Source organism: Homo sapiens, chromosome 8 (genome assembly GCF_000001405.40).
Source record: "Homo sapiens chromosome 8, GRCh38.p14 Primary Assembly".
Classification (NCBI taxonomy): domain Eukaryota; kingdom Metazoa; phylum Chordata; class Mammalia; order Primates; family Hominidae; genus Homo; species Homo sapiens.
In genome coordinates, this window is record NC_000008.11 from 141034075 (window position 1) to 141055810 (window position 21736).

Consider the following 21736-nt stretch of genomic DNA (forward strand, 5'->3'; position numbering starts at 1 on the left):
GAGTCTTGCTCTGTCACCCAGGCTGGAGTGCAGTGCCATCTTGGCTCACTGCAAGCTCCGCCTCCCGGATTCACGCTATTCTCCTGCCTCAGCCTCCAGAGTAGCTGGGACTACAGGCGCCCGCCACGACGCCCGGCTAATTTTTTTGTATTTTTAGTAGAGATGGGGTTTCACCATGTTAGCCAGGATGGTCTCGATCTCCTGACCTCGTGATCCACCCGCCTCGGCCTCCAAAAGTGCTGGGATTACAGGCGTGAGCCACCACGCCCAGACCAAGGATTGTTTTCTTTTACTTGCTGCCTAAATCCTTGGAAGCTTTGGGTGACCCTGGGAACAAGTGAAAGTAAGGCTTAGGTGGAGGCGGAGGCTGGGGGAGTTGTGGGAAGGCCACCCTCAAGGGCAGGTTGAGGGACTTCGGGGAGGGCCCTTCTTGAAGAGGCCAGGGTGGAAGACAGGAAGAGCTGTTTTGGAAAGCGAGGCTGGTGGATTTGGCTGAGGGTGTGCGGAGCTTGATGGGACAGAGAGGACTGAGCTGGTGGATACACACGGGAGCCAGGTGCTCAGGAGAGGCCAGGCTGGATGGGCACACCCGGGAGCCATCAGTCAGAGACGATGACAGCATTTTTGGCTCGAGTCTACAGGTACTTCTCTGGGGCCTGCGCTGCCCCCTCAGGCCACTTCTGCCCCTGCCCTGTGTCCCCAAGACATGCTCATCTCTGTGCCTGGCAGGGCTGGGCTCCTTCCTGCCTCCCTGCTTGACCAGGAGCCCCTGTAAGCCACCGACCATGCCCAGCTCATCTTAGAGGCCTCAGCTCCTGACCAGGGCCATCCACGTCAGCATGTGTGGATCCCAACTTCCTCCTAAACCCAGGAACTCCTCACCTTTCTGCTCACTCCACGGCATCACAGCAGTAGCAAGTACTCGCAATTCTTCCTCCCTGTCGTGAGTTGAATTGTGTCTTCCCAAAAGATCTGTTGAAGCTCCAGCTCCCAGTAACCGTGAATAGGACCTTATTTGGAAATAGGGTCTTTGTAGATGCAATCGCGTTAGGCTCAATTGGGGGGCCTAAACTTATCTGAGTGTCTTTATAAGAAGAGGTACGAGAGACCCACAGGAACACCACACTGGAGGCAGAGATTGGAGTGGGGCAGCTGAAAGCCAAGGAACGCTGAAGATTGAAACCAGAAGCTGGAAGAGGCAGGAAGGTTCTGCCCTTAGAGCCTGGCCCTGCAACACCTTGATTTCAGGCTTCAGTCTCCAGAACTCTAAAACAATACATTTCTGCTGTTTTCAGCCCGCATGTGTATGGTGCTTTGTTACGGCAGCCACAGGAAACCAGCACACTCCGTGAGGCCCTCTTTCCCATCTCCCCTCCTGCCCTCGCTCCCCACTGCCTGGCTCTGGCCTTCCCTGCTCTTCCCTTTCCATCCAGCAGCCCTGGTGCCACAGGAGGGCTGAGTCACAGGCTGAGTCACAGTGAGTCCCCAAGTGCCCAGTGCTGTCCCACACCTTTGCCCCTGCTGTTCCCCTGCCTGAGCTGCCCTCCCTCTTGTCTGATGGTGACTTCTACGCATCCTTCAAAACTCAGGTCATCTCCGTGGTAGGGCGGTTCTGACCTCCAGATTGAGGCAATCATTCCCTCCACTGTTCTTCCCTTCAGCTCACCTCTTGCCCCCACTCCTCATGGCAGAGCCAGTTTAATTGCTTCTTATTTATGCCCCCTTTCCCCCGCCTCGAAGCATGAGTCTCTTGAGAGCAGGGAGTATGTCCCGTGGCAGAGACTCAATCATGGAGATTGGTTGGCTGTGTAGAGGGCTGGATGAACGACTGCATAAAAAAACTGGTTGGCTGGATGGTCAGACAACAGAAAACCTGAGAAAACATCAACACAATTGGCTCTGCATGCGCGATGTGCTCTTGTGGCCCTGGTGTTAGCAGGGAGGGATCCAGGGTTTGTGGGATCCGATGCTGATACAACTGAGGGGCATCCCCTTCCAGAAAAAACTACAAAAGCAGGTACAGGGCTTTAGAGGGGGCGCAGAAACGTAAGCTTTATCAGCATCCCGGCAAATTCACCTTTGCTGTTCGCTTCGCTGGGCACACCCCCATGTCCCGGCCTTGAGCTCCTGCCGCGCTCACCACTTCCTCCTTGCCTGACCGCGGACCGCAGGCAGCACTTTCGCTGAGATTGCTTCCCCTTGAGGTCTGCAGGTCTCTGGGCCCGGGAGAGCCTCCGCTGTCTCAGGAGCACAGGCTGAAGCTTCATCAGCCTCCAGCCCAGCCAGGGTGAGCGCCACCTTTAGAATATGTTTGCCTTGCCTCCTCCCACATGCTGCCCCCGTGGCTGGCCAAGCTCCATGGGATGGGGGTGCCAAGGAGACCTACGTTTCTGTCACCTGCTTGCAGGCTTGCAGGATCGTGGAAGGGCTATTGTGGTATATTTGTTTTCAAAGCTCTTGTAACAAATGACCACCAACAGGGTGTCTTCAAACAACAGAAATTTATTCTTCCAGTTCTGGAGGCCAAATGTCCAGGTGCCGGCAGGGCCGCTGCCGCCAAAGGCTCTGGGGCAGGATCCTCCCCACTTCTTCCTGCTCCTGGTGGCTCCTGGCAGCTCCTGGCATTCCTTGGCTTGTCCTGCCTCCACCTTCACATGGCTTTCCCTCTCTGTCTTCCCACTTCTTATATGGACGCCGATCATTGGATTTAAGGCTCACCCTAAAGCCAGGATGATGTCAGCTCAAGATCCTTCACTTGCATCTGCAAAGACCTTTTTCCAAATAAGGTCACATTTACAGGAACCAAGGGGTTAGGACTTGAACAGATCTCCTGGGGGACACAATTCAGACTGTTACACATGGGGACAATGATCGGACCCCACCTCACCTGGGAGGACAGCTGGCTGCTCTGCAACTGCAGAGATGGGAGGGCCCTACAAAGAGCCCACCCATCACTCCACAGCTACCCGTGCTCCCTCTTTTTTTTTTTTTTGAGAAAGAGTCTTGCTCTGTTGCCCACCTCGCAGGTTCAAATGATTCTCGTGCCTCAGCCTCCTAAGTGGCTGGGACTACAGGCGTGCACCATCATGCCCAGCTAATTTTTGTATTTTTTTGTAGAGATGGGGCCGTGATGACCAGGCTGGTCTCGAACTCCTGACCTCCCGTGACCCACTCGCCTCAGCCTCCCAAAGTGCTGGGATTCCCGGAGTGAGCCACCGACTACACCCAGTCAGTTGGCAGCAAGACCAAGAGCTCCTGGGGACAGGCGCATCTTCCACCCCAGCTTCACCCCCACCTGTGGAGCCTCCACCGTTTGCCCCTCTGCTTCCAGCCTTCATCTTCCCCTCCCTCCCTCTGACTGGTCCTGAGTAAGTAGTTCTCAGTCTTCCCCCCTTCTCCCCGTTTCCCCTGCACTCCTCTTCCTGGCCTCCCCCTTGGCCTGGCTCCAAGCTCCAAGCAGAGGGTGACAGGGAAGCGGCTGGGAAGGCGCCCTTTCCTGAGGCCCCTCGCAATGGAGATGAGCTCTGGGCCGGGACTTCACCAGGGTCTCCTCCTCTGTCTGTGCACTTGGCAGTCCATCTTTCTGGAAAAGACCCCTCCACACACACACACACCCAGAAACCCACCCACCTGCTGGTTCTGGCATCTCGTCCCATTCCTGGCTTGGTTACCACCTGCCCTAGCCCGTCACTCTAGATCTCAGCCTCTATTTGGGTCCTTCAGGACATTTGTTACTGCCATAGGGACGCCTCTGCCCCCTCCTCGGGTTTCCTTGGAGGCAGGCTGACTCCACGGGTGGGGGCAGAACAGCACTGGTCCCTCCCCGTCACTCCCTGGGGAGAGGGAGTCTGAGGAGTCCGGGAAGCCCAGCCTGCCTGTGGCCCTTGGGATGGCTCCCCGTGGCCAGCTCTCCCCTAGTGGGCACCGCCCCTGTTTGGCCCTGCTCGGCCCCTTCCTGGGATGGTTATGTTTAATTCAGGAGGAAGGAGCAAGAGCCCATCTGGTTATGAGTCAGAACAACTCCAGCAGCTTCACATTTCCAGCACGGAGCTGACACTTCAGCCCTTACCACCTGCTGATTCTGTTTCCTAATTAATTCCAATTGCAGAGGTGAGGGGGTGAGATGAATCAACACCTTCAAATACCCCACACTCGGATTTCATGGTGTTTTGTTTTTATTTGCCTCTGCTGGTTTATTTTTGTTGGTTTTCCCTAGGAAGGCAGTGAAGTACCTGAGGGCAAGCCTGGGTCTGGGTCTTGCAATCCTATCCTCAGTGCCTAGATGCCCAGTGAACACTGAATTCATCATTGTCCCCCTTTTACAGAGAGGGCTGTATGTCACACAGCGGGTACACGGGGAGCCGGGGTTTAAAGGAGTGTTTTCATGACCCTAATCCCCTGGCCGCTGACCTCCAGGCTCAGAGCCTGACTCATGTAGAATATGCCAGGCCCTTAGTGGCCTGTGGGCTGGCTTTGTGCCCAGAACCAGGGACGTGAGTATCCAGAGCTCACTTCCCCGCTGCTCTCCTCCTCCCCAGCCCCTTCTTGGCTTGCTCCCGCAGGAAGCCCTCCCTCAGGTATCATTTCCTACAGAGGAAATCTCCTTTGTCCCTGGAAGTGCAAATCTGGCTGTGAGAGTGGCAGGCCTCTTGGGGGCTATTGTTTGGCACTTCCTTCTTGGCAGTGGGCCTTGGGCTCCTGAACCCCTCTGCTGCCTGGCTGTCCAGGGTCTGAGTGCTCCCAGAGGCCCCCCAGGCTGGAAGAGCCAGTTAGTCAGTTAGATAACTATGACTTGGTTCCTGCCTTCAAGGAGGTAAGAGTGTGATGAAAGACCTCAAGCCAAAACCACCCAGAACCATCCAGAACCAACCAGAATCCCCAACCAAGCCCTTCCCAAACTCATCACCCACAGGGATTGTGAAAAATAATAAAACAATTACAGTTGTTGTTTTAACTGTGGTAAAATATGTGTAACGTAAAATTTACCATCTTCATCATTTTTAGGTGTACATTTCAGTGGCATTAAGTACATTCCTGGTGTTGTACGCACATCGCCACCATCCATTTCCAGAACGATTTCATCTTCCCAAACTGAAACTCCATCCCCACTTTAAACACTAACTCCCCTTCCTTCCTCTCCACAGTCCCTGGCACCCACTGTTCTGCTTTCTGTCTCCAAGAATGTGACTCCTCCAGGCACCTCATGTGAGTGGACTCATACAGCATCTGTCCTTTCCTAGCCGGCTTAATTCAAAAGCATAATGTCCTCAAGGTTCATTCATGTGGTAGCGTGGACAGAATTTTCATACTTTTTAAGGCTGAATCATGTTTTGTTTGATATATTCTACATTTTGTTGATCCATTCATCTGTAGATGGAAACCTGGGTTGCTTCCACCTTTGCGCTATTGTGAATTATGCTGCCATGAACATGGGTGTGCAAATATCTGTGAGAGTCCCTTTTTCAGTTTTGTGGGATATGAACCAAGAAGCGGGGTTGCTGGATCATATGGTAGTTCTATTTTGAGTTTTTGAGGAACCACCGTACTGCTTTCCACAGCAGCCACACCACCTGCCACTCCCTGCAACAGTGCACAAAGATTCGAATTTCTTTCTCTTTTTTGAGACAGGGTCTCGCTCTGTCACCCAGGCTCAAGCGCAGTGGTGCAATCACAGCTCACTGCAGCCTCGACCTCTGAGGCTCAAGCAGGCCTCTCAACTCAGCCTCCTGAGTAGCTGGGACCACAGGTGTGCATCACTACGGCCAGCTATCTTTTTTGTATTTTTAGTAGAGATGGGGTCTCACCATGTTGCCCAGGCTGGTCTTGAACTCCTCAGCTCAAGGGATCTACCCACCTCAGCCTCCCAAGGTTCTGGAATTACAGGCGTGAGCCACTTGGCCTGGCAGAGATTCCAGTTTCCCTACATCCTAGCCAGCACTCACTTTTCTCCTTTGATAGTAGCCTTCCTAATGGGCCCGACCTGGCATCTCACTGTGGATTTGGTTTGCATTTCCCTGATGACTAATGATGCTGAGCATCTTTTTTGTGTTTTTTGGCCACTCGCACATCTTCTTTGGAGAAATGTCTTAACCAATATGGGGTCTCATCCTAGCACTCAGGACTTGCCCTGGATTCTCCTGGCTCTGCCCTTGGGACATGATCTGTGCTCGGCTTGGTCAAGGCCCCACAGCCCATCCTTCTCTGCTCCAATGCACCCCACCCACCGGGTCTCCTGGCCAGGAAAAAACACAGCCCTCCCGACTCCTGCCATCCAGCTGGCTCCACCCAGATCCCTCAAATCCTCTCTGAGCCTGGAGTTTTGCCCCCAGGTTGCCCCCTTGCCGTCCCCTAAAGAGTCCTGCTCTATGGCCAGCCCTGTGCCTGGCTAGCAGCTGCCTGTACACATCCTCCTGAATCATGCCACTCTCATGCCCAACACCAGTGTCTGCTCCTGGATTTCCCACTGCTTGGCCCTTCCTGTACCCTGATGGAAGGCGATTAGGAGGTTATTGCAGGGTTGTCTCTGCCTGGGGCCTTTTCTTTTTTTTTGAGACAGAGTTTCACTCTTGTTGCCCAGGCTGGAGTGCAATGGCGCAATCTTGTCTCACTGCAACCTCCGCTTCCTGGGTTCAAGCGATTCCCCTGTCTCAGCCTCCTGAGTAGCTGGGACTACAGGCACATGCCACCACGCCCGGCTAATTTTTGTACTTTTAATAGAGATGGGGTTTCATCATATTGGTCAGGCTGGTCTCAAACGCCTGACTTCAGGTGATCCGCCTGCCTTGGCCTCCCAAAGTGCTGGGATTACAGGTGTGAGCCACTGCGCCCGGCCACCTGAGGCCTTTTCTAGCTGCAGAAGCTGGCAGGCCCTGGGGCAGGGCATGCAGGAAGTCCTGAGCGGTTCACACTCCCCCAGAAGCGCCCTCAACCAGTGAGGGACAGAAGTTGGTGGATAAATGCCCCAGCTCCCTCGGCCTTCAGTGAGGCCATTCTATGTGTAGTCTACACTCCCTGAGTGCCTGTGGGTTTGAGCCCTGGTTGTCCCCTGTTGTCCACAGAGATCACCTGCACATTAGGGCACCCTTTACTTCTCTCACCCCTGTCCCTGTCACACCTTCCCACTGTCCTGACAGTACTAGTGTCATCTCCAAGACAAAGTAGTAGTTGTCTCTTGTCTCAGCTCTGATAGGTGGGACCCCACACTGGGACAGCAGTGAAGTAGGAGAGAGTCCCCACTTGGAGTCTGGCAGACCCAGGCTTGCCTCTTGGTCTTGCTGCTTCCCAGCCGTGTGGCTTATCTGGTCGCTTCGTCCCTCTTAGTCCCATTTTCTCTTTTTTATTGGGAGTAATAGGAACACCCCAGCTGTCTCTCCGTGCATTTGCTGTTGGGAAATTCAGACCCAAATGGGAACTGGCCCCTAGAACACAGCACCTGTTGTTTGTTCTGCGACAGTCAAGGAGGGCAGAGGCCCTAAGATGGAGATGTTGGATTTCCTGCTAATGAGCATGTCAGGGCATGAGAGGAACAAAGTGGATGTGGAGAGAGGTGGGGCCTGACTCCTACTCACCCTGGCAAGGTGTATGGTGCTGAGTTACATGCCCTGAAGAGTAACTGTGGTCTGTGCAGGGCCTCAGGCTAACCCTCATTGTTAAAGGGAGCGAGCCCAGCCCTGTGGTATGGCTGTGGCCCTGGGGATGACCTTCTTTGCCCAACCCCCAACCGCATTCACAAGAAGCTGCTGCCGGGCCAGATGTGCAGGATCACACCTCTGAGCAAGGGTGGCACCCGACCATATGGTAGGTGTGTGGCAGAGCATTGGCAGGCGAAACCCAGGCCCACAAAAAGGCCGCTCTGAGCTTCTCCTCTCTCTAAACAGGAGGCAAGAAGGAGGGAAAGTGAGAGAGAGAGGAAGGCAGGAAGGAAGGGAAGAGAGAGAGAAACAGAGAAAGAGAAAGACAGAGAGAGATAGGGTGGCCTTCCTGCTGATCTGGGAGGCTCCAGTAAGAGTAATTTTAATATTTAAAATCGATGTTATTTGTATCTTAAGCCGGTAAAGTTGTTCACACCTATTTAAAATAAGCAAATGCCTCAAAGGGTAGCCTCCCGAGTAGCTGGGATTACAGTGCAGGAATTGAATGAAATTCTTTTTTTTGTTCTTGTGTTTTTGAGACGGAGTCTCTCTCTGTCACCCAGGCTGGATTGCAGTGGCGTGATCTTGGCTCACTGCAAGCTCTGCTTCCCGGGCTCACGCCATTCTCCTGCCTCAGCCTCCCAAGTAGCTGGGACTACAGTCGCCCACCACCACGCCGGGCTAATTTTTTGTATTTTTAGTAGAGACAGGGTTTCATTGTGTTAGCCAGGATGGTCTCAATCTCCTGACTTTGTGATCTGCTCGCCTCGGCCTCCCAAAGTGCTGGGATTACAGGCGTGAGCCACCGCGCCCGGCCTGAAATTCTTGAAATTATCCAATACAGTGCACGGCCCAAGGAGGGTGCCCAGAAGATGTTTGTCTCTTTTCTATTCCTTCCCTAGCCTGTACTCCCTGAGCTGAGCCCAGGGCCTGACACCCAGTTGGTGCTCATGCAATGTCTGTTGAATGAACGAGCAACCTGGGTACTGTTTCTGAACCATGAGGGAGAGAGGCCTGGGACCCTCTGACCCTGGGTTCAGCCCCCTGGTTGCCTACCTCGAGCCAGCCCTGAGCCAGGCTGGGTTTTCTTGCCCCTGCCAGGCCCGGTTGCAGGCCTGGAGTAGGGGCTTTCTGCTTGCTGCAGGCACTGGGAGGGGCCAGGGTGTCTCTCCAAACCTCAAGTTAGACAGCCTTGGTTGGAAGGGTTTTTGTTTTCTTTTGTTTTTTGTTTTGTTCTGAGACTGCGTCTTGCTCTGTCTCCCAGGCTGGAGTGCAGTGGCTCAATCTCAGCTCACTGCAACCTCCTCCTCCCAGGTTCAAGCAATTCTCTTGCCTCAGCCTCCCGGTAGCTGGGATTACAGGCGCACACCACCATGCCCGCTAATTTTTGTATTTTTAGTAGAGACTGGGTTTCACCATGTTGGCCAAGCTGGTCTCCAACTCTTGACCTCGTGATCCACCCGCCTCAGCCTCCCAAAGTGCTGGGATTACAGGGGTGAGCCACCATGCCTGGCTGGAAAGATTTTTTTTATGTCCAGCTCTCTCACTTGTGAAGCCATATAAAGGCCTCCCCTGTGTCTCAGTGTGAGGGAGCAGGGACTCCACATGCTAAAATATACAGTGATGACACCACATGTGGTCCAAAGAAAACAACATATAGAAGTCCAACTAGTTCTCAAATCAGCACCATGTCATCAAGCTTGAACTATCTTGTGGTTAAGGTTGGTTTGGGTGGCCTCCAAGGGAAGTTCAAGTTGCTTTGGCTTAAGAGATTTGTCCATGCCTGTGTGTGTGGTTTGTGTGTGTGTATCGTGTGTGTGTGTGTGTTGCTATTTGTGGTCCTAAGTGAATGACAAGGCTCTGATTCAGCAGCCCTTACCAGACAGTGACGTTGATGATAATTTCCATTTTGTACAGTGCAGCTTTTCTGTCTCCAAATCTTATTCATATGGATGAACTCATTTGAACATTGCAATACCTAGGAGATGAATGGTTGTAGTTTTATAGATGGAGAAACAGCAGCTTACACAGGTAACTCAGCATCACAGAGCTGGGTCATGGTGGCCAGGACGTGAACCCGGGCTCCATGAGTGATGCCTCTGTTCTGTCTTCAACATTGTACAGAGACATCTTGGCAGGCACTAGGCTAAGACGTATGTGGGATAGCTGGGCAAGTGAGATGGACCTGTCCTAGGAAATTTACATTTGATTGTGAGTGAAGGACAGGTGAATCTAATGATCTGGAGTCACAATGTACATTAACTGCGATGATGACATAATTCACCATGTGTGATAAGAATACAGAGCACCAGATAAATCTGGCAGGGGAATCCAGGAAGGCTTACTGGGGGAGGTGTCCTGTGAACTGGTCTTTCTGCCAATTAGGATTTCAGCCAGCTACATATGCCAGCAACTATCCATAGCGGCTTGCCCATTAGAGACTTACTGTTCTCACAAAGCAAGAAGCCTGGAGGGAGGCAGTCCAGGGCCGCAGCAGCCACTCGAGAAGGCTGTGAAGGATGCGGCTCCTTCCAGCTTCCCACTCTACCCTCTGTAGAGCGTGGTGCTTGTCCTCATGCTGCGACATGGCAGCTCTATTTCTAGGCTTTGGGCTTACAGCCCAGGAGGGAAGGAGGAAAGGGTAAGGGTTGAAAAGCAAAAAGTCAGCCAGGCTCACACTGGCTGAGTTGGTGGGCTTTTGAGCTAGGCCCCAAGGCCACTCCTTACGGCAAAAGAGATTTTTGACCTGAGCATGGCAGAACAAAGTCAGAGCTTAGTAAGGATATTGGGAGGGCACTGGGCAGTGTCTGCCTCATCTTTTTAGCTGGGTAGGAACCCAGCAGGCAACAGGTGCGGGGAGAGCCCACAGCGAGGCAGTGGGTGGGGAAGTGCAGGCTCCATGGAAACAGGAGGTGGTTCACTCTGGTCAGAGGGATGTAACATTTCTGTGTATGGTTGTGTGTGCCCATGTGCCCACCTGCACCTATACATGTGCACACACAACACGTAGTCACGTATGCACACACGTGTCTATGTGTGCATACACATAGGTGTATGAGGGTGTGCAGGCATGCATGTGTGTGTTGCCATGAGGAGGTGGTGATTATAATGGGGGATAAATAATGAGCTTGATCGTGAAGGCCTTAAGAAGCTCGGGTTGTGGCCGGGCACAGTGGCTCACGCCTGTAATCCCGGCACTTTGGGAGGCCGAGGCAGGTGGATTACCTGAGGTCAGGAGTTCGTGACCAGCCTGACCAACATGGAGAAACCCCGTCTCTACTAAAAATACAAAATTAGCTGGGCGTGGTGGTGCATGCCTGTAATCCCAGGTACTCACGAGACTGAAGCAGGAGAATCACCTGAACTCGGGAGGCGGAGGTTATGGTGAGCCAAGATCGTGCCACTGCACTCCAGCCTGGGCAACAAGAGCAAAACTCTGTCTCAAAAAACAATAACAACAACAACAGAGAAAACTCAGATTGTAATCCCAGAACTTTGGGAAGCCAAGGTGGGTAGATTGCTTGAGTTCAGGAGTTTGAGACCAGCCTGGGCACCATAATGAAACCTCATCTCTACCAAAATACAAAAAAAGAAAAATAGCCTGGCATAGTAGCCTGTGCCTGTGGTCCCAGATACTGAGGAGGCTGAGGCAGGAGGATCGCTTGAGCCTAGGAGGCGGAGGTTGTAGTGAGCTGAGATCGCGCCACTGTATTCCAGCTTGGGCAACAGAGTGAGATCTTGTCTCAAAGAAAAAGAAGAAGCAGCTCAGGCTGATTCCATGTTGAGAGCCCCTGACCACACCGAGGAGTGGCTTGGTGAGATTCCAGCGGCAGTGTGGCGGAAATTGAGGGGCGGGGAGCTGGCAGCAAAGAGATCAGTGAGGGGGCTGTTAGCAGGGGTGGCTCAGAGCCACAAACCAAGAGCTGACATTTTCAGAAATGCAGCCCCAGATAGGAGGACTTCAGAACCTTTTCTGCAGGCGCACTAGGAGGTGGCAAAACCTGGTGGCCATGCCTACGGGCTTGGAGTCAGGCTGCCTAGGTCCAACCCAGCTCTACCAATTTATATGTGGCCAGTCATGACACTCTCTGGGCCTCATTCTCCTATGTGTAACTCAGAGAGAATCATTTTGCCAACACCCAGGAGATGCCAATGAGATTACTTGAGCAGAATGAGTGACAAAGTGCCGAGTACATGTTACCTATTACCATGGTATTGCAGATGCAGAAGGCCCCATTGTCCCCAGGTGGCACATCCACGGTGTCCTCTAAAGGCGCTCCCTGCCTGTGTCTGTGCAGGCCTACGTGGAGGCTGGACACACAGGTACAAGCTTGCCAGCTCTCCCTCTTGCATGTGAGGTTAGTGAGCCCCTTAAGCCTGGGCATTCCTGAGTAGCTTTGTCAAAGCTGGAGCAGCCAGTGGGTGCCGGCCAGGATGTCCTGAGACGTTTCCGAGAGTCATTCATAAGGATCTAAAAGGCTGGTATGGTTCCCTCGTTACTCAATGCCCTCTCTGCCCTGATGCTTGCTTCTTTTTGCTCTCAGTAGCCTGTGGTCTTCAGGAACTGGGGGAGTTGGTGCTGAGTAAAGCCCCGAGTCGGCCTTTGTTCAGCATGCATTTGCTCACAGCTCCTGCCTGCCCTCAGGTTGCCCGTGTTCAGAAGGGAGGCTTACTGGTAGAAGAGCAATGGCAGTTAGTGGAAGGCGTGTTACAGTGAGGGACACCGTGTGGAGCTGCAGGTGCAGACCAGGGTGCCTAACCCAGACTTGAGATGAGAAGAGCCTTCCTGGTGGCAGCAATGTCCATACCAAGGGAAGGGAACTCAGTCCCTGTCCTTGAGGCACTGACGTCCAGTCGGGTGCACAGGCATTTACAACATTGTGTCGTAATTTCTGCTGCCAGCTATGCTGGAGTAGCTCATAGCAAGCCAACTCTCATGCAGAAGACAATTATGAAGCCTGGAAACATTGCAAAATGAAATCGATTGGTGGCCGGGCATGGTGGCTCACGCTTGTAATCCCAGCACTTGGGGAGGCCGAGGTGGGTGGATCACCTGAGGTCAGGCGTTCAAGACCAGCCTGGCCAACATGGCGAAACCCCGTCTCTACTAAAAATACAAAAAATTAGCCAGGCGTAGTGGCAGACGCCTGTAATCCCAGCTACTCAAGAGACTGAGGCAGGAGAATCACTTGAACTAGGGAAGCGGAGGTTGCAGTGAGCTGAGATTGTACCTCTGCACTTCAGCCTGGGCAACAAGGCGAGACTCCATCTCAAAAAAGAAAGAAAGAAAGAAAGAAAGAAAAATTGATCGGAGAGCTTTGTAGCGTAAATTGCAATTGGGGGGGTCAAGACCCTAGAAAGGGGAACATGATAAAGTCAGACAGACCTCCATCGCTTTCCACCTCAGGGTGTGTTCCAATGTGGAGCATCGCAGCTTCTGCAGCTTCCTAGAGCTGGAGAGACAACCACTGGAGTTCATGGCTCCCAAGGCTCCTGGGGTTGAAGAACTCTGAGAAAAGGAGACTAAAGAGGAGAGAGCAGGCCGGGTGCAGTGGCTCACACCTGTAATCCCAGCACTTCGGGAGGCCGAGGCGGTTGGATCACCTGAGGTCGGGAGTTCGAGACCAGCCTGGCCAACATAGTGAAACCCCGTCTCTACTAAAACTACAAAAATTAGCTGGGTGTGGTGGCGGGTGCCTGTAGTCCCAGCTACTCGGGAGGCTGAGGCAGGGAATTGCTTGAACCTGAGAGGCGGAGGTTGCAGTGAGCCGAGATCATGCCACTGCACTCCAGCCTGGGTGACAGAGCGAGACTCCGTCTCAAAAGGAGGAGAGAGCCTGGCATCCTATGCAGCTATTGCCCTCATGATGTTTGCTGAATCCTGAGGTGCTCACAGGGAAGAGGCCAAAAAACCCCCCAAAAAAGTGGTTGCTGAGAGAATAAGCTGAAGTTTCAGTAGTCTCAAGATGCCATGGGAAAAAAATGGAAGTTCAGAGCTATTGAAGGAAAATCGGCCTGTAAACAGCCCTGGTTTTCTTTGGAGACTCCTGTAAACACTGCATCTCAAATGGCTGCTCCAGCCCAGGCTTCTTGTTTCACAAGAAAGATGAATCCTTAATGGTTAAGCCACTAGGATGCGTTGCTGATACATGTAGCAGACTAAAATCCTAACTGGCACAAAGGCCAGTTTATGGGTACCTCCTCCAGTAAGCCTTCCTGGATTCCCCTGCCAGATTTAATCTTGTGATCTGTGTTCTTATCACACATGCTTGGTTCTCTTATCATCACGGTGAACATACATTGTGCCTCCAAATCATGAGGTATATGTGTCCAACCTCAAAATAAACATAAACTATGCCCTAGGATTAAGGTCAATCCTCACAAAGTCTGAAATTCAGCCTCAGTTTCTCTCATTTCCTAGTTTACACCAAGTAATCTCTCCTAACTCTAACTGCCAGCAAGAAGAAAATTAAACCATTTCTGTGGGAAGATAAAATCCTCCAGAGCTTCTGTGATTTTTTTAAAGACAGAATCTGATGTTCAATAGAAAATTACCAGGCATAGGCCGGGGACGGTAGCTCACGCCTGTAATCCCAGCACTTTTGGAGGCCGAGGTGGGTGGATCACGAGACCAGGAGTTTAAGACCAGCCTGGCCAAGATGGTGAAACCCTGTCTGTACTAAAAATACAAAAATTAGCCAGGCACGATGGCAGGCACCTATAATCACAGCTACTCGGGAGGCTGAGGCAGAGAATTGCTTGAACCCTGGAGGTGGAGGTTGCAGTGAGCCGAGATCACGCCACTGCACTCCAGTGTGGGCGAGAGAGCGAGACTCCGTCTCAAAAAAAGAAAGAAAGAAAGAAAGAAAGAAAATTACCAGGCATATCATCAAACAGAGCCAATGAAAGAAAAGCAAGAGGAAAAAACCAAACCAAACCCAGATAATGAAAAATAACCCACAATATTGGATTTGAAAATACTGTGATTAATGTTTAACATATAGATATCAAGATGGAGAGTTTTCAAAAACTGGAACTTATAAAAAGAACCAAGTAGGCCGGACACGGTGGCTCATGCCTGTAATCCCAGCACTTTGGGAGGCCGAGGCAGGCGGATCACCTGAGGTCAGGAGTTCGAGACCAGCCTGGCCAACTTGGAGAAACCCCATCTCTACTAAAAGTACAAAAATTAACCGGGTGTGGTGGCAGGCACCTGTAATCCCAGCTACTCAGGAGGCTGAGGCAGAAGAATCACTTGAACCCGGGAGGCAGAGGTTGCAGTGAGCCGAGATCACGCCACTGTACTCTAGCCTGGGCGACAAGAGTGAGACTCTGTCTCAAAAAAAAAAAAAAAAAAACGAACCAAATAGAAGTTGTAGAACTAAAAAATATAACAACTAAAACCAATAGCTCAATATACGGATTTAACAACAGATTAGGCACAGTAGAAAAGAGGATTAATGAAGTAGAATCTAGGTGAGCAGAAATGTTCACACTGAAGCATGGGAAGAATAAATAGGATGAAAAATATAGACAAAAACATCAGGGAAATATGAAGCATTGTGAAAAAGTTTAACATATGTTAATTACAGTCCCAGAAGAAAAGGAGAGAGTAAGCCAGAACCAATATTTGAAGAAATAATGGCTGTGGCTGGCCATGGTGGCTCATGCCTATAATCCCAGGATTTTGGGAGGCTGAGGCAGGAGGATTGCTTGAAGCCAGGAGTTCAAGACAAGCCTGGACAACAAGGCTCTCTTTTAAGAGAGCTGCCTCTATTAATTTTTTTTTTTTAATTAGCTAGGTGCAGTGGCCTGTGCCTGTAGTCCCATAGTCCCAGCTACTTTGGAGGCCGTAGTCAGAAGATCACTTGAGTCCAGGAGTTCCAGGCTGCAGTGAGCTATGAGGGTGCCACTGTACTCCGGACTGAGCAACAGAGTGAGACTCTGTCTCTAAAAGAAAGAAAGAAAGAAATAATGTCTGAGGCTGAGCATTTCCAAATTAACAAGACATCAAGCCACAAATGAAAGAAACTCTTAATTTCAAACAAGGTGGATAAAAAGAAGGTCACAGTGGGTGGCTCACGCCTGTAATCCCAGCAATTTGGGAGGCCGAGGTGGGCGGATCATGAGGTTGGGAGATTGAGACCAACATGGCTAACACGGTGAAATCCCGTCTCCACTAAAAATACAAAAAATTAGCCGGGTGTGATGGCGGACGCCTGTAGTCCTAGCTACTTGGGAGGCTGAGGCAGGAGAATGGTGTGAACCCGGGAGGTGGAGCTTGCAGTGAGCCGAGATCGCACCACTGCACTCCAGCCTGGGTGACAGAGCGAGACTCCATCTCAAAAAAAAAAAAAAAAAAAAAGGTCACAGTGAAGCATGTCATTGCCAAACTAGTGAAAAATGAAGTCAAAGAGAAAGTCTTCAAAACAGCTAGCAAAGAAGATTTTAAACAAAGCAATAATAGAACCAAGAGCTGACTTCTCAGAAGAGATCATGGAGATGGAAAATAATGGTAGGGTATCTTCAAAGTGCTGAAAGAAAGCCACTGCCATAGCCTGGACAATATAGCAAGACCCCATCTCGCTCCAAAAAAAAAAAAAAAAGGGATGGGAGGATGGGTGTGGTGGTACATAACTGCAGTCCCAGCTACTTGGGAGGCTGAGGCTGGGAGATGGATTGAGCCCAGGAGTTTGAGGCTGCTGTAAGCTATGATCATGCCACTGCACTCCCACCTGGGAGACAGAGTGAGACCCCATCTCTTAAAAAGAAAACGACTGCAAATCTAGAATTCAAACTAAGCTAAAATGCAGTTGAAAATGAACAAGAAATAAGGATATTTTTAGATAAACCAAAGCTGTCAGGATTTGTCACCAGCAGGTCCACATTAGAAGAAACACTAAAGAAGGCAGAAGGAAAATTATCCCAGATGAAAGTAATAATGCTAAAAGAAATAGTGTCCAAAAAAGTAAATATATAGATAAAACTAAGTGAATATTAACTGTTTCTAACAATGACAGTAACATCTTACGGGATTTAAAACATACATAGAATAAAAAGAATTAATAACAGTACAAAAGTTAGGAAAGGGGTGCATGGAGTTAAATTTCAACATTCTCATATTATCTGGGAAGTGATAAATGATTTTAAAAAGTTATGGTAATGTCTTAAAACTCAAGGTGCATGTTGTAACTCCTAGAATAACCATCAAAAGATAAATAATAGGATGCATAACTAATCTGATAAAGGGAGAAATAGAATAACAAAAGATGTTTAAATAACCAAGTAAAAGGGCAAGAAAGGGGGATAAAGGAATGTAGAGGACAGGCCCGGTGGCTCACGCCTGTAATCCCACCACTTTGGGAGGCCGAGGCAGGCAGATCACAAGGTCAGAAGATCGAGACCATCCTTGCTAATATGATGAACCCGTCTCTACTAAAAATACAAAAAATTAGCCGGGCGTGCTGGCATGCACCTGTGGTCCCAGCTACTTGGGAGGCTGAGGCAGGAAAATCGATTGAACCCGGAAGGTGGAGATTGCAGTAAGCTGAGATCGCACCACTGCATTCCAGCCTGGGCGACAGAGCGAGACTCTGCAAGACAAATAGAAAACAAATAGCCATATGGTAAATTTAAACCCAAAAATATCAGTAATTGCATTAAATGTAAATGAACCAGTAAAAAGACAAAGATTTCCGGGCTTTTTCACTTTTTTTGAGATGGAGTCTCAATCTGTCACCCAGGCTTGAGTACAGTGGTGCTATCTGGGCTCACTGCAACCTCTGCCTCCCAGGTTCAAGCGATTCTCCTGCCTCAGCCTCCCAAGTAGCTGGAATTACAGGTGCATGCCACCACGCCCAGCTATTTTCTTTTATTTTTAGTAGAGACAGGGTTTTGCCATGTTGGCCAGGTTTTTCTCGAACTCCTGACCTCATGTGATCCACATGCCTTGGCCTCCCAGAGTGCTGGGATTACCGGTGTGAGCCACCGTGCCTGGCCTGCCAGGCCGGTTTAAAAGAAAACACCACCACCCCAACTATTTGCTATTTTCAAGAGATGCATCTGAAGTATAAGGATACAGAAAAATTGAAAGTAAAAGGATGAATAAAATATACTATGCATGCAAACATACACGCACACATACATATGTGCATATATGCATGTGCACACACACACACAGAGAAAGAAGAAAGAAAGGAGGCAACTGGTGTAAACTATTATCAGACAAAATTGACCTTAGGAGATAAAGAGATATTTCAAAAGAAAAAAATGGTCATTCTAACAGTAAGATATAAAACCCCAAATCTGCATTCACCTGATAACACAGCCTCAAAAGATATAAAGCAAACACTGACAGCCTAATAGGTTAAGGAGTGTAATACAGGACAGAGGAGTCAGCAACTAACTTTTGCTAGGAACGTGAATGGAGGCTTCACTGAGGAGGAGCTATTTGAGCTGGCTTGCTATGGACTGAATGTGTGGACCCCCAAAATTCCTATGTTGAAATCCTAATCCCAATGTGATGATTTTAGAAGGTGGGGCCTTTAGAAGAGAGAAGAGCTTTCCTGAATGGGATTAGTGTCCTTATAAGAAGAGACACAGGAGAGATGATCCTGGCTTCTGCCACCTTTGCACTAGGAAGTAAGCTCTCACCAGACACTGGATCCACTGGCACCTTGATCTTGGACTTCCCAGCCTCCAGAACTGAGAGAAATAAATCATTGTTGTTTAAGCCATCCAGTCTATGGTATTTTTGTTACAGCAGCCCCAGTGGACTAAGACATGGGTCTTCAAGAATGTCTAGGCATTTTCTAGGTGAAAATGGCAACAGGAATAATAAGAACTGCTATTTCCTGATTTATTTACCTATACCATTTCACGACAATCTTAAAACAATCCTGCAGTGTGCGCACCATTAAGTCCCCAGCAGATAAATGATACTGAGGCCAAAAGAGGTGAAGAAGTTTGATTCAGATGATGAAGGAAGTGAGTGATAGAGTCAGGATTTGAACTGAGATCTATCCACTTCCAAAGCCGAGGTGTTTTGTCTTTGGCCATTCTGCCTCTGTGCAGACGCATTGCATTTGTTTGTTGTATCATGGGTTTGACTTGTGTCTGAAGCATTTATTTGAGGAAGACAAGAGTTGAGCAGCCATGATTATGTTATGAATTATAATGTTCCCAAGTTAAAAAGAAAACATTGTTAGATGGTATAACAACAAAAGCATGTGTTATCAATGAGAACTCATAAATCTGTAACAGGTGGCTTCACTGAAAGTCTTAGCGGAGACATCAGCCAAAGCATGCATGTCCCAGAATATGTACTGATATGCTTACTGTCATCTAATGGCAACATATGATAATTGCAGGGAAAATATACAAGAAAAGAGAAAATAAAGCTTTAGAGTGTAGTAACCAAAAACCTAAAGCCATAAAATGACAGTGAACATTGGAACCTGACATCAAGTTGTTTAATAAATATTTGTTGAATGAATAATTCATCGCCAAGCTGTTATGTCAGCTGGTTTTGTTTCACAATCTCCATGATTTATTTTTCCCCTTATTTTAAAAGTAAAATTGTTTTTTCTTGCTTTTAGAAATGTTAAAAAGACCAAAAAAAAAAAGTAAAAGTAAGAAATAGCAAACATCCATCATTTCAATACTTCCAGAATCAATTCTGGTCAACAGTCTTAATATGTTTTCTTCCAGTAGTGCTCCATAAGAAAAATTATCAGAATTTGTTGTTTTAAAAAATCATTATAATTATTGTTATTATTATTATTATTTTGAGATGGAGTCTCACTCTGTCACCCAGGCTGGAGTGCAGTGGTATGATCTTGGCTCACTGCAAGCTCCGCCTCCCGGGTTCACGCCATTCTCCTGCCTCAGCCTCCTGGGTAGCTGGGACTCCAGGCACCTGCTGCCACATCCGGCTAATTTTTTTTTTTTTTGTATTTTTAGTAGAGACGGGGTTTCACGGTGTTAGCCACGATGGTCTCGATCTCCTGACCTCGTGATCCGCCCACCTCGGCCTCCCAAAGTGCTGGGATTACAGATGTGAGCCACTGCTCCTGGCCATAATTTTTTAACTCAAGCCAAAAATAGTCCATAAAAATTAAAATTTTCAAGAATAAAAGTGATACCTATTCATTACATATACTGAAATCAAAACATGCTGAAAATCCCAAAGTTAGAAGTTAAAAAAAAACCCAAATCCCACCAGCCAGAGATAACCATTAATATTTGGTGAACATTATTTTGGACACCTCTATCTGCAAATACACAAACAGGATGGATGAAGGAACAGATGGGCAGAAATACTTTTACAAAACCAGAAGGATCAGATTTTGGATACTATTTTTTTTTTTTTTTTGAGACAGAGCCTCGCTCTGTTGCCCAGGCTGGAGTGCAGTGGTGTGATCTTGGCTCACTGCACCCTCCACTTCCCAGGTTCAAGTGATTATCCTGCCTTAGCCTCCCGAGTAGCTGGGACTACAGGTGCACACCACCACACCCGGCTAGTTTTTGTATTTTCAGTAGAGACAGGGTTTTACCATGTTGGCCAGGATGGCCTCGAAATCCTGACCTCAGGTGATTCACCCATCCCTGCCTCCCAAAGTGCTGGGATTACAGGCCCGAGCCACTGTGCCTAGCCAGATTTTGGATACTCTTTTAAATTTAATTTTACTTGAATTTAACAGAAGGAAGTAAAAGGGAAGTCAATGGAGTTATTGGATTCACATAAATATTTCTTCTATATGAGACATAGTGTCCCAAAAACATTCCTCTAAGTTTAAGAAAAGAAACTGTGAAAACATTAACAGGTTGAAGTCATTATGACTTTTTTCAAGGATTCATTTCTACTTTGATTTGTATAGACTGACTTCTTGCTGTGAAAGCTGAGTTAACTGGCCCTGCCACACTGGTGTGAACATACAGTTCTTAAGATAATGAAATCCTGGCCAGGTGCGATGGCTCACATCTGTAATCCCAGCATTTTGGGAGGCCGAGGCGGGCTAATTACGAGGTCAGGAGTTCGAGACCAGACCGGCCAACATGGTGAAACTCTGTCTCTACTAAAAATACAAAAAAAAAAAAAATTTAGCTGGGTATAGTGGCGGGTGCCTGTAATCCCAGCTACTCGGGAGGCTGAGGCAGGAGAATCGCTTGAACCCGGGAGGCGGAGGTTTCAGTGAGCTGAGATTGCACCACTGCACTCCAGCCCTGGTGACAGAGTGAGACTCCGTCTCAAAAAAAAAAAAAAAAAGATAATGAAATCCTTCCATGCCAATGCCAATTGGTGAAGAGTGGCTGCTGGGCCGCTCTCCCTCGAGGTCCCCCTCTGTTCTGATTACCCTGAGTGCCCTGCCAAGACCACCCCAGACCCCATTTCTTGGGGCAAATGGGACTCTGGACTCTTCTGCCAGCCCCCCTTCCACACTCCCCTTCCACCAAGGTAGCCCAGGTTTCACCTATTTTGATGCTGGGTGTCCATATAAGGCATTGTTTGTAGAATGTATTCAGCCACCAATGGGATTAGAAAGCTTGAAAGCTGCTGCTCCAGCTTGGCCCTCAGGGCCCTGCAGCTTGCCCAGCCCTCGAGTCTCAGAGAATGGAGCCCTTGCTGCCCTTTCTGCCTGAGCACTCACAGCTCATTAAGAAGTGGAAGCACACGTCTGCAATCACCGTGTAATTACCTTGCTTCCTAATTGGCAGCAGACAAGGCCGGCAGGTGTGGCAAACCCCCGGTAAGCTGGCTCCAGTAGGTTGAGGCAGAGGGTGCCTGGACTGCGGGAAGGGAGTGGGCTTCTCTCAGGCCCCAGTTCTGTGCCCCGCCCTGCGCCCAGAGCCCCACACTCAGGATCTTCACCGATCTCTTGAGGGGGGTGGTCCTCTCCTCAACTGAGGCCGAGAAGTACGCATCTGCCCGAGACCCCACCCGTCAGTGGGGTGGCCTAGATGTGAACCTGGGGCTGCCTCATGCCCAGACTTGCTGTTCCCGCCCAGGCCGCACAGAGGGAAGGAAAGACGTAGGCAGGGGTTGGAGCCGAGGAGCTCGGGGTACACCTTCGTTGCTGCCTTTGGAGACAGACACCCCAAAACAC

At 49.5% G+C, this 21736-nt stretch overlaps 1 long non-coding RNA gene across 1 annotated transcript, besides 4 other annotated features; it reads right to left on the reverse strand.

The window, feature by feature from the left end:
* Positions 1-2482: 2482 nt before the first annotated feature.
* LOC124902030 (uncharacterized) lies at positions 2483-3963 on the reverse strand. Its single transcript, XR_007061121.1, has 2 exons — positions 3631-3963; positions 2483-2830 (listed from the first exon to the last, which is right to left on the reverse strand). It is a non-coding gene; the product is annotated as an uncharacterized LOC124902030 (long non-coding RNA).
* Positions 3147-3771: an enhancer, noted in NCBI's record as "H3K27ac-H3K4me1 hESC enhancer chr8:142047320-142047944 (GRCh37/hg19 assembly coordinates)". NCBI's record gives its function as "activates a minimal SCP1, AML or CMV promoter by ChIP-STARR-seq in naive and primed H9 embryonic stem cells {active_cell/tissue: H9 hESC(naive and primed)}" and the evidence as "EXISTENCE:reporter gene assay evidence [ECO:0000049][PMID:30033119]".
* Positions 3772-4397: an enhancer, noted in NCBI's record as "H3K27ac-H3K4me1 hESC enhancer chr8:142047945-142048570 (GRCh37/hg19 assembly coordinates)". NCBI's record gives its function as "activates a minimal SCP1, AML or CMV promoter by ChIP-STARR-seq in naive H9 embryonic stem cells {active_cell/tissue: H9 hESC(naive)}" and the evidence as "EXISTENCE:reporter gene assay evidence [ECO:0000049][PMID:30033119]".
* Positions 4398-5022: an enhancer, noted in NCBI's record as "H3K27ac-H3K4me1 hESC enhancer chr8:142048571-142049195 (GRCh37/hg19 assembly coordinates)". NCBI's record gives its function as "activates a minimal SCP1, AML or CMV promoter by ChIP-STARR-seq in primed H9 embryonic stem cells {active_cell/tissue: H9 hESC(primed)}" and the evidence as "EXISTENCE:reporter gene assay evidence [ECO:0000049][PMID:30033119]".
* Positions 7376-8165: an enhancer, noted in NCBI's record as "H3K4me1 hESC enhancer chr8:142051549-142052338 (GRCh37/hg19 assembly coordinates)". NCBI's record gives its function as "activates a minimal SCP1, AML or CMV promoter by ChIP-STARR-seq in naive H9 embryonic stem cells {active_cell/tissue: H9 hESC(naive)}" and the evidence as "EXISTENCE:reporter gene assay evidence [ECO:0000049][PMID:30033119]".